The sequence below is a fragment of the Homo sapiens genome, chromosome 10, assembly GCF_000001405.40.
Source record: "Homo sapiens chromosome 10, GRCh38.p14 Primary Assembly".
NCBI classification, from domain to species: Eukaryota; Metazoa; Chordata; class Mammalia; order Primates; family Hominidae; genus Homo; species Homo sapiens.
Window position 1 is genome coordinate 33,508,343 of NC_000010.11, and position 11,894 is coordinate 33,520,236.

At 41.3% G+C, this 11,894-nt stretch overlaps 3 annotated features.

Annotated features, from left to right (window-relative positions):
* Positions 7,663-8,254: an enhancer, noted in NCBI's record as "H3K27ac-H3K4me1 hESC enhancer chr10:33804933-33805524 (GRCh37/hg19 assembly coordinates)". NCBI's record gives its function as "activates a minimal SCP1, AML or CMV promoter by ChIP-STARR-seq in primed H9 embryonic stem cells {active_cell/tissue: H9 hESC(primed)}" and the evidence as "EXISTENCE:reporter gene assay evidence [ECO:0000049][PMID:30033119]".
* Positions 10,832-11,673: an enhancer, noted in NCBI's record as "OCT4-NANOG hESC enhancer chr10:33808102-33808943 (GRCh37/hg19 assembly coordinates)". NCBI's record gives its function as "activates a minimal SCP1, AML or CMV promoter by ChIP-STARR-seq in naive H9 embryonic stem cells {active_cell/tissue: H9 hESC(naive)}" and the evidence as "EXISTENCE:reporter gene assay evidence [ECO:0000049][PMID:30033119]".
* Positions 11,279-11,573: a silencer, noted in NCBI's record as "tiled region #8853; HepG2 Repressive non-DNase unmatched - State 24:Quies". NCBI's record gives its function as "represses a minimal TATA promoter and a strong SV40 promoter by Sharpr-MPRA in HepG2 cells {active_cell/tissue: HepG2}" and the evidence as "EXISTENCE:reporter gene assay evidence [ECO:0000049][PMID:27701403]".

Here is an 11,894-nt window from a genome sequence, read left to right on the forward strand (position 1 = left end):
TTCTGATGTTGTTGTTATGGAAATATGTCAAGACATTTCTTTGTAAAAATTCCCAATGAGGCTGGGCACAGTGGCTCACACTTGTAATCCCACCACTTTGGGAAGCTGAGGTAGGAGGATCACTTGAGTCCAGGAATCAAGACCAGCCTGGGCAACATTGTAAGACCCCATCTTTACAAATAATAGTAATAATAATTAGCTGGGCATGGAGTGCATGCCTGTAGTCCCAGCTACCCAGGAGGCTGAGGTGGGAGGATGGCTTGAGCTTGGGAAGTTGAGGGTGCAGTGAGCTGTGATCATGCCACTGTGCTCTAGCCCAGGTGACACAGTGAGATTCTATCTAAAAAAAATTTTCCAATAAACTTTACATTATAGTGATGCCCCTGTGGTTGTGGGCAATGTATAAATGATTTGACTAATTTTTTCCCATATGTCAATTCAACCCTCAATATTTTCCAAATTTATCTTAGAATTTATATTTAAATTTATGAATTATCTTGAAAGACCTGATTGTTTGGAATCTACCCTCATCTATTCTACTTATTTGAATCTTTAGAAAGATTATTAAAGGAATATTTAAGTGTGTTGTTTCATGGAAATTAGGAATACCGAGTTATAATGTAAATATATTCATTCAGAAACTGGGGTGGGGGTCGGGGGGGAAGTCCTCAGGGAAGATACAGTATTCACTATTGACGTTGGTTTAATATTGCTTTGTACAGTTGTTTAATATGTACGTTGTTTGTATTTTATCTTGTATATATCTCTCCACCACACATTAATCCTTGGACTGTTAGTACATACAGAACACATGTCGGGATGCTTTCTCAGTGGACCTCATCTTCAGGGATCATTTTATTTCCACAGTTTAGTGCCTCCTTACTAGAATAGAGAACTCCATAATTTTTTCTAAAGATTCTATCAGTCTTGATCCAATGTGCTAGGTGATAAATGACTGAACGCTGGCCCCGGAGGGGAAGTTAGCAATGAGTCATGCTGTCTCCTAGTAACCAGTCAGTAAATAGCTTCCAGCAAATATTTTAAACCTCAAAGCACACTTACCTTTGGTATTATCCTTAGACAGACTATCCTCATCTATATCTGCACTCTCATCTCTCTTTCAGAACTTCTAAGAAAGGAGAAAAAGTGGGATCGGGTTTGCATATGACGTCACCCCCTTGAAAACCCACATGAAAACATTCCTACCCCAGGGAGTCTGTCTCAACAAACCTTTTCCTTGATTTGTTTCTCTGTATTTTGCTTGCCCTCAAATGTTATGAAGCCATGTATACTCCACGTAATTTTCATTTGTTTGTTTCTAGATAGGCCCTTCTATGTAACTATTCAATGAGTCCATACTGATGTGTGATTTCAGAGTTTAGCATGGAGGTCAGCACACGATCAGAACAGAAAGCGACACTCAAGCACCCTGCTCACACATCCCACCAATGACACTGTTTCAGACTAATTAATTTACATGTGTAAAGGTTATTTAAAACATAAATCCTCCCTAAGTGAGAGGTGGGAAAGGGGAGAATTAAGCCTATTAATCTTGTTCACCTTATCCCCACGTAAGACTGTTTTCTTTAGACATTTAGGGTCAGACTCTGTAGCATGGGAGTCCTTATTAGGGATATGGAAAAAAACACGAGAGTTCGTTTTGGAGCATGGAACATCAAAAGATGTGTCTATGTAAATGAATGCAAAAGGCTACTTTAGATGGACAGAGAGCAGCAAGAGAGCTCCAGACTTTAGCAAAGGAGGGATGCAAAGAGAAATAACTAGGAAGGGAAGATGAGTAGCAGGAACCAAGGTCACTGTGAACCCTCTTAGCCTAACTCTAAGGTACGGCTGCAAGTCTCTGAATTAAACTGTGAGCCTTTTAAAGATGTGATTTCTTCTGTTTCCTTGTTTTCCTCTAAAACTCTATACAGAGTAAGTGTGCAGCAAATGTTTGCTGAACAAATACACTTCCATTTTAGGTAAAAAGTATAGATGGTCCCTAGACAGAAAATAAAGCACTAAGACTGTTTGGCAGGGTTATAAGAGGTAGCGCTGAGATTTTGCCAAGAAGGCTTTTGGCTTTTGGCTTTTGGAAAATTAGTCCCAAAAGTTAGTGCTCTCTTGGATAAACTGAACCCCCGATCCTTCTTCAGGGCATCTTTTAAAATTTATTTATTTTTTATTTTTTTCAGACCAAGTCTCACTCTGTTGCACTCCCAGGCAGGAGTGCAATGGGGTGATCTCGGCTCACTGCAACCTCCACCTCCCAGGTTCAAGCTATTCTCCTGCCTCAGCCTCCCAAGAAGCTGGGATTACAGATGCTCGCCACCATGTCTGGCTAATTTTTGTATTTTTAGTGGAGACAGGGTTTCACTATGTTGGCCAGGCTGGTCTCGAACACCTGTCCTTAGGTGATCCACCCACAGGGCATCTTTTTTTTTTTTTTTTTTTTTCTTTTTTCTTTTTCCTTCTTTTTATTTTTTTTATTTTTTATTTTTATTTTTATTTTTTTTATTATACTCTAAGTTTTAGGGTACATGTGCACATTGTGCAGGTTAGTTACATATGTATACATGTGCCATGCTGGTGCGCTGCACCCACTAATGTGTCATCTAGCATTAGGTATATCTCCCAATGCTATCCCTCCCCCCTCCCCCGACCCCACCACAGTCCCCAGAGTGTGATATTCCCCTTCCTGTGTCCATGTGATCTCATTGTTCAATTCCCACCTATGAGTGAGAATATGCGGTGTTTGGTTTTTTGTTCTTGCGATAGTTTACTGAGAATGATGGTTTCCAATTTCATCCATGTCCCTACAAAGGATATGAACTCATCATTTTTTATGGCTGCATAGTATTCCATGGTGTATATGTGCCACATTTTCTTAATCCAGTCTATCATTGTTGGACATTTGGGTTGGTTCCAAGTCTTTGCTATTGTGAATAGTGCCGCAATAAACATACGTGTGCATGTGTCTTTATAGCAGCATGATTTATAGTCCTTTGGGTATATACCCAGTAATGGGATGGCTGGGTCAAATGGTATTTCTAGTTCTAGATCCCTGAGGAATCGCCACACTGACTTCCACAATGGTTGAACTAGTTGACAGTCCCACCAACAGTGTAAAAGTGTTCCTATTTCTCCACATCCTCTCCAGCACCTGTTGTTTCCTGACTTTTTAATGATTGCCATGCTAACTAGTGTGAGATGATATCTCATAGTGGTTTTGATTTGCATTTCTCTGATGGCCAGTGATGATGAGCATTTCTTCATGTGTTTTTTGGCTGCATAAATGTCTTCTTTTGAGAAGTGTCTGTTCACGTCCTTCGCCCACTTTTTGATGGGGTTGTTTGTTTTTTTCTTGTAAATTTGTTTGAGTTCATTGTAGATTCTGGATATTAGCCCTTTGTCAGATGAGTAGGTTGCAAAAATTTTCTCCCATGTTGTAGGTTGCCTGTTCACTCTGATGGTAGTTTCTTTTGCTGTGCAGAAGCTCTTTAGTTTAATTAGATCCCATTTGTCAATTTTGGCTTTTGTTGCCATTGCTTTTGGTGTTTTGGACATGAAGTCCTTGCCCACGCCTATGTCCTGAATGGTAATGCCTAGGTTTTCTTCTAGGGTTTTTATGGTTTTAGGTCTAACGTATAAATCTTTAATCCATCTTGAATTGATTTTTGTATAAGGTGTAAGGAAGGGATCCAGTTTCAGCTTTCTACATATGGCTAGCCAGTTTTCCCAGCACCATTTATTAAATAGGGAATCCTTTCCCCATTGCTTGTTTTTCTCAGGTTTGTCAAAGATCAGATAGTTGTAGATATGCGGCATTATTTCTGAGGGCTCTGTTCTGTTCCATTGATCTATATCTCTGTTTTGGTACCAGTACCATACTGTTTTGGTTACTGTAGCCTTGTAGTATAGTTTGAAGTCAGGTAGTGTGATGCCTCCAGCTTTGTTCTTTTGGCTTAGGATTGACGTGGCGATGCGGGCTCTTTTTTGGTTCCGTATGAACTTTAAAGTAGTTTTTTCCAATTCTGTGAAGAAAGTCATTGGTAGCTTGATGGGGATGGCATTGAATCTGTAAATTACCTTGGGCAGTATGGCCATTTTCACGATATTGATTCTTCCTACCCATGAGCATGGAATGTTCTTCCATTTGTTTGTGTCCTCTTTTATTTCCTTGAGCAGTGGTTTGTAGTTCTCCTTGAAGAGGTCCTTCACATCCCTTGTAAGTTGGATTCCTAGGTATTTTATTCTCTTTGAAGCAATTGTGAATGGGAGTTCACCCATGATTTGGCTCTCTGTTTGTCTGTTGTTGGTGTATAAGAATGCTTGTGATTTTTGTACATTGATTTTGTATCCTGAGACTTTGCTGAAGTTGCTTATCAGCTTAAGGAGATTTTGGGCTGAGACGATGGGGTTTTCTAGATAAACAGTCATGTCGTCTGCAAACAGGGACAATTTGACTTCCTCTTTTCCTAATTGAATACCCTTTATTTCCTTCTCCTGCCTGATTGCCCTGGCCAGAACTTCCAACACTATGTTGAATAGGAGTGGTGAGAGAGGGCATCCCTGTCTTGTGCCAGTTTTCAAAGGGAATGCTTCCAGTTTTTGCCCATTCAGTATGATATTGGCTGTGGGTTTGTCATAGATAGCTCTTATTATTTTGAAATACGTCCCATCAATACCTAATTTATTGAGAGTTTTTAGCATGAAGGGTTGTTGAATTTTGTCAAAGGCTTTTTCTGCATCTATTGAGATAATCATGTGGTTTTTGTCTTTGGCTCTGTTTATATGCTGGATTACATTTATTGATTTGCATATATTGAACCAGCCTTGCATCCCAGGGATGAAGCCCACTTGATCATGGTGGATAAGCTTTTTGATGTGCTGCTGGATTCGGTTTGCCAGTATTTTATTGAGGATTTTTGCATCAATGTTCATCAAGGATATTGGTCTAAAATTCTCTTTTTTGGTTGTGTCTCTGCCCGGCTTTGGTATCAGAATGATGCTGGCCTCATAAAATGAGTTAGGGAGGATTCCCTCTTTTTCTATTGATTGGAATAGTTTCAGAAGGAATGGTACCAGTTCCTCCTTGTACCTCTGGTAGAATTCGGCTGTGAATCCATCTGGTCCTGGACTCTTTTTGGTTGGTAAACTATTGATTATTGCCACAATTTCAGAGCCTGTTATTGGTCTATTCAGAGATTCAACTTCTTCCTGGTTTAGTCTTGGGAGAGTGTATGTGTCGAGGAATGTATCCATTTCTTCTAGATTTTCTAGTTTATTTGCGTAGAGGTGTTTGTAGTATTCTCTGATGGTAGTTTGTATTTCTGTGGGATCAGTGGTGATATCCCCTTTATCATTTTTTATTGTGTCTATTTGATTCTTCTCTCTTTTTTTCTTTATTAGTCTTGCTAGCGGTCTATCAATTTTGTTGATCCTTTCAAAAAACCAGCTCCTGGATTCATTGATTTTTTGAAGGGTTTTTTGTGTCTCTATTTCCTTCAGTTCTGCTCTGATTTTAGTTATTTCTTGCCTTCTGCTAGCTTTTGAATGTGTTTGCTCTTGCTTTTCTAGTTCTTTTAATTGTGATGTTAGGGTGTCAATTTTGGATCTTTCCTGCTTTCTCTTGTAGGCATTTAGTGCTATAAATTTCCCTCTACACACTGCTTTGAATGCGTCCCAGAGATTCTGGTATGTGGTGTCTTTGTTCTCGTTGGTTTCAAAGAACATCTTTATTTCTGCCTTCATTTCGTTATGTACCCAGTAGTCATTCAGGAGCAGATTGTTCAGTTTCCATGTAGTTGAGCGGCTTTGAGTGAGATTCTTAATCCTGAGTTCTAGTTTGATTGCACTGTGGTCTGAGAGATAGTTTGTTATAATTTCTGTTCTTTTACATTTGCTGAGGAGAGCTTTACTTCCAACTATGTGGTCAATTTTGGAATAGGTGTGGTGTGGTGCTGAAAAAAATGTATATTCTGTTGATTTGGGGTGGAGAGTTCTGTAGATGTCTATTAGGTCTGCTTGGTGCAGATCTGAGTTCAATTCCTGGGTATCCTTGTTGACTTTCTGTCTCGTTGATCTGTCTAATGTTGACAGTGGGGTGTTAAAGTCTCCCATTATTAATATGTGGGAGTCTAAGTCTCTTTGTAGGTCACTGAGGACTTGCTTTATGAATCTGGGTGCTCCTGTATTGGGTGCATAAATATTTAGGATAGTTAGCTCCTCTTGTTGAATTGATCCCTTTATCATTATGTAATGGCCTTCTTTGTCTCTTTTGATCTTTGTTGGTTTAAAGTCTGTTTTATCAGAGACTAGGATTGCCACCCCTGCCTTTTTTTGTTTTCCATTGGCTTGGTAGATCTTCCTCCATCCTTTTATTTTGAGCCTATGTGTGTCTCTGCACGTGAGATGGGTTTCCTGAATACAGCACACTGATGGGTCTTGACTCTTTATCCAACTTGCCAGTCTGTGTCTTTTAATTGCAGAATTTAGTCCATTTATATTTAAAGTTAATATTGTTATGTGTGAATTTGATCCTGTCATTATGATGTTAGCTGGTGATTTTGCTCATTAGTTGATGCAGTTTCTTCCTAGTCTCGATGGTCTTTACATTTTGGCATGATTTTGCAGTGGCTGGTACCGGTTGTTCCTTTCCATGTTTAGCGCTTCCTTCAGGAGCTCTTTTAGGGCAGTCCTGGTGGTGACAAAATCTCTCAGCATTTGCTTGTCTATAAAGTATTTTATTTCTCCTTCACTTATGAAGCTTAGTTTGGCTGGATATGAAATTCTGGGTTGAAAATTCTTTTCTTTAAGAATGTTGAATATTGGCCCCCACTCTCTTCTGGCTTGTAGGGTTTCTGCCGAGAGATCCGCTGTTAGTCTGATGGGCTTTCCTTTGAGGGTAACCCGACCTTTCTCTCTGGCTGCCTTTAACATTTTTTCCTTCATTTCAACTTTGGTGAATCTGACAATTATGTGTCTTGGAGTTGCTCTTCTCGAGGAGTATCTTTGTGGCGTTCTCTGTATTTCCTGAATCTGAACGTTGGCCTGCCTTGCTAGATTGGGGAAGTTCTCCTGGATAATATCCTGCAGAGTGTTTTCCAACTTGGTTCCATTCTCCACATCACTTTCAGGTACACCAATCAGACGTAGATTTGGTCTTTTCACATAGTCCCATATTTCTTGGAGGCTTTGCTCATTTCTTTTTATTCTTTTTTCTCTAAACTTCCCTTCTCGCTTCATTTCATTCATTTCATCTTCCATTGCTGATACCCTTTCTTCCAGTTGATCGCATCGGCTCCTGAGGCTTCTGCATTCTTCACGTAGTTCTCGAGCCTTGGTTTTCAGCTCCATCAGCTCCTTTAAGCACTTCTCTGTATTGGTTATTCTAGTTATACATTCTTCTAAATTTTTTTCAAAGTTTTCAACTTCTTTGCCTTTGGTTTGAATGTCCTCCCGTAGCTCAGAGTAATTTGATCGTCTGAAGCCTTCTTCTCTCAGCTCGTCAAAATCATTCTCCATCCAGCTTTGTTCTGTTGCTGGTGAGGAACTGCGTTCCTTTGGAGGAGGAGAGGCGCTCTGCGTTTTAGAGTTTCCAGTTTTTCTGTTCTGTTTTTTCCCCATCTTTGTGGTTTTCTCTACTTTTGGTCTTTGATGATGGTGATGTACAGATGGGTTTTCGGTATAGATGTCCTTTCTGGTTGTTAGTTTTCCTTCTAACAGACAGGACCCTCAGCTGCAGGTCTGTTGGAATACCCTGCCGTGTGAGGTGTCAGTGTGCCCCTGCTGGGGGGTGCCTCCCAGTTAGGCTGCTCGGGGGTCAGGGGTCAGGGACCCACTTGAGGAGGCAGTCTGCCCGTTCTCAGATCTCCAGCTGCGTGCTGGGAGAACCACTGCTCTCTTCAAAGCTGTCAGACAGGGACACTTAAGTCTGCAGAGGTTACTGCTGTCTTTTTGTTTGTCTGTGCCCTGCCCCCAGAGGTGGAGCCTACAGAGGCAGGCAGGCCTCCTTGAGCTGTGGTGGGCTCCACCCAGTTGGAGCTTCCCGGCTGCTTTGTTTACCTAAGCAAGCGTGGGCAATGGCGGGCGCCCCTCCCCCAGCCTCGTTGCCGCCTTGCAGTTTGATCTCAGACTGCTGTGCTAGCAGTCAGCGAGACTCCGTGGGCGTAGGACCCTCTGAGCCAGGTGTGGAATATAGTCTCGTGGTGCGCCATTTCTTAAGCCGGTCTGAAAAGCGCAATATTCGGGTGGGAGTGACCCGATTTTCCAGGTGCGTCCGTCACCCCTTTCTTTGACTCGGAAAGGGAACTCCCTGACCCCTTGCGCTTCCCAGGTGAGGCAATGCCTCGCCCTGCTTCGGCTCGCGCACGGTGCGCACACACACTGGCCTGCGCCCACTGTCTGGCACTCCCTAGTGAGATGAACCCGGTACCTCAGATGGAAATGCAGAAATCACCCGTCTTCTGCGTCGCTCACGCTGGGAGCTGTAGACCGGAGCTGTTCCTATTCGGCCATCTTGGCTCCTCCCCAGAGGGCATCTTTTTAATACTGCAGTCTCATTTGATTAATGGGACAGCATCCTAAACCAGCTGAGGATTTTGTTTAAGGCCACACAGAAGAGTCAGAGGGGTCTGATAGCAATGTCATCGGATTTCCTCCCTTAGATGGGCTTATGCCAAGTTTTGGAAGATAGTTATAAAATTTTTGACTTCTAGTTTTTACTACCAGTGATAAGAAATTGTCACCATGTGTGAGAATTTTTTCATTCCATTTTAGTTGGTCTTTTTATTAATGAAATAACCACCTTGTTGAGGGCTTATTTCACATTGTAAACATAATGATCATTTTACTCCTCCCCCAGATTCCATAAGGTGGGGGTATTCGTTCTACCTCTACAACGGCAAGCTTAAAAAGTCTAATCAAGTTGCCCTTTGTCACCAAACTAATAAGACAGCGTAGAAACTTGAACCCAAGCTTTTATGGTTCTAAGTGAAGTTCGTAATCTTAACCACTGTGCAACATAATTTCTTTTCTGTAAGCCTCAAGCTTGCAACAGGTAGAAAAAGAAATTTTTAATGTTTATTAATCTGGCTAAAGAATAATAGTAGAATTATATGACAATAGTAAAAATGTAGATCTGGTAAGAATATTAGAAAGCTTTTAATCTTGTAGTTTTTATCTATTTATTTATTTATTTATTTATTTATTTATTTATTTTAGACAAAGTCTCACTCTGTTGCCCAGGCTATAGTGCAGTCTTGTGATCTTGGCTCACTGCAACGTCCGCCTCCTGGGTTCAAGCGGTTCTCCTGCCTCAGCCTCCCCAGTAGCTGGGATTACAGGTGCACGCCACCACACCCAGCTAATTTTTGTATTTTTAGTAGAGATGGGGTTTCACCATGTTGGCCAGGCTGGTCTTGAACTCCTGACATCAAGTGATCCGCCCACCTCAGCCTCCCAAAGTGCTGGGATGACAGGGTGAGCCACCGTGGTGGGCCTAATCTTGTGTTTTTTAGATTGTAATTCTCAGATTCCACAGAGGTACTCAGAGGTTGCCCAAGAGGAAGAAAAGGTAGAGTGGAAGGCCGGAGGCCGAGGGGAAAGAGCTCCGGGCTTTCAATTCCCTTTTCCAGAGACTAAAGTTTCCCTTAAACTTTCTTTATGTTGGAATTCTATATAAGATTTCATTTAGGAGCAGGTAGGCAGGGGTGGAGGGAGAGGAAAAGGAAGTTTGTTGAACCATTATGAAAAAAGTAGTTGACAATTGCTGAGTTAGTCTAGATCTATCATTTTATAGGTGAGATAATGGAGGCCCAGGTGGTAATTTAGCCAAAGTCACTCTGTTAACATCATAACCTCCCTAAACTGAGAGAGCCCTTGGGGATCACCTGACCCAATCATTTGCCAGCATTGGCTTCTCTCACCTGCCATCAGCCACATGGGGTCCAAACTCCTCCACAGCTGGAGGCTCACGGACCACCAAATCTTCCCATCTTTCTGATCCTTAGAAAATATATCCTTAGGCCGAGCGCAGTGGCTCATGCCTGTAATCCTGGCACTTGGGGAGGCTGAGGCAGGTGGATAACTGGGGGTCAGGAGTTTGAGACCAGCCTGGCCAACGTGGTGAAATTCCATCTCTACTAAAGACACACAAATTAGCCAGGCATGGTGGCATGTGCCTGTAACCCCAGCTACTTGGGAGGCTGAAGCAGGAGAATCACTTGAACCCAGGAGGCAGAAGTTGCAGTGAGCTGAGATTCAGCCACTGCACTGCAGCCTGGGTGACAGAGCAAAACCCTGTTTCAAACAAACAAACCAAAAAGTAAAACAAAACAAAACAAAAAACAACAAAAAACTCCTTATTATAAGCTGAGATCTGTCCTTCCGTATCCCTAAAAATTAACTAGAATAATTAAAGTCTTTCTCCCTTATGACAATGCCTCGAATATTTAAAGACACCTAATATATCCCTCCCGAGCCTCTCATCTCCAGACACAACTTCTCCCATTTCCTTTAATGTTCCTCAGAGAGTGTGGTTTCTTCTGGTCTGGTTGCCCTGCTCCAAAAAAGCTTCCATTTGTTTTTATCCCCTTTAAAGATTCAAGTGCAGAATTGAACATAATATTTTAATAATATTTCACTTTATATATTAAGTCATTTAAACTTCCATTCCTTACACAATATCACATTAACTCCCTTAAATGGGCAAGGGATGATAGGCAAGAGAAATAACATGAAGATACTATTATCTACAGCTGTGTTCTCCCACACAGACATAAATCCATACACACGCTTTCCTTGCTTCCTAAAAGGATCTTGCCTACACTTTCAAAATCACCCTGTGTGCTGTCCGTGAGAGTTTCTTCCTAAAGCAAGCCTTTGTTCATTGCAACTAGCCGTGTATGCTTTGCCGGAGGAGTTATACATTAGAAACCATCAGCTGACAATGGGGATATATTGAGTCAGATTCCTTACGTTGGTGCAAAAGTAATTGCGGTTTTTGCCAATGAATTTGGCAAAATTTAACCTTTAATTTGGGGTTTTTGCCTCGAATTAAAGTAATGGCAAAAGCTGCAATTGCTTTCCTACCAACCTAATAGATCGCTCTACTGCAGCCATGTCCGCAATGGCAACTAACATATCTATTTAATAGATAACAAAAGCTAGCCAGGGCACATTCATTTAAGAGCATGGACCAATGTTAAGAATTTTTTACAGATATTTTTGCAGGCGAGATGATAAAGAGGAAACCAATGATAATACAAGAAAGGCATTTTCTAAATTCTGTAGATTGTATTATGATTGGCCCTTGATGACCCCTGCTAATGAAGGAAACTGTTATGTAAATGACCCAAAACAGCAGGCAAAATGCCATGATGACATAGTTCTGATGTGCTTTGGAATTTGCATTTCCAAAACAGTAGCCGATTACCTTTCTAATAAAAACATGAAAAGTGGCTAGTGTTTCCCTGAGTTCATCCCGACGGATCCCGATGCATTCTGAGTGGCAGGGGAGTCAACCTGAAATTGAACATTTGCTAGCAATAATCCACGAAACAAACAATAACCCACATGTGCTTAATCTAGAGATGATCATATTCTACAGTTACTTCCTATTTTTGAACTGCTGCAAGTAGTTCACTGTGCATCTTCACATTGCTTTTTATTCAAGGGATCAAATGTGCTTATGTGTATCATCTTATTTGCTGTCACCACTGCTTGGAAATTATTATTAGCTCTATTTTATATTTGGGGAAATTAAAAGTTTCAGATTGTTAAGGAGGAATAGACCGGGAGAGGAAAGGAGTAAATCTCACAGAAAACATTCAGCTTGATTTAGAATTCTCGAGTATTTCGGTTGGGGATGACCCAAGGATGACCAGTTAACC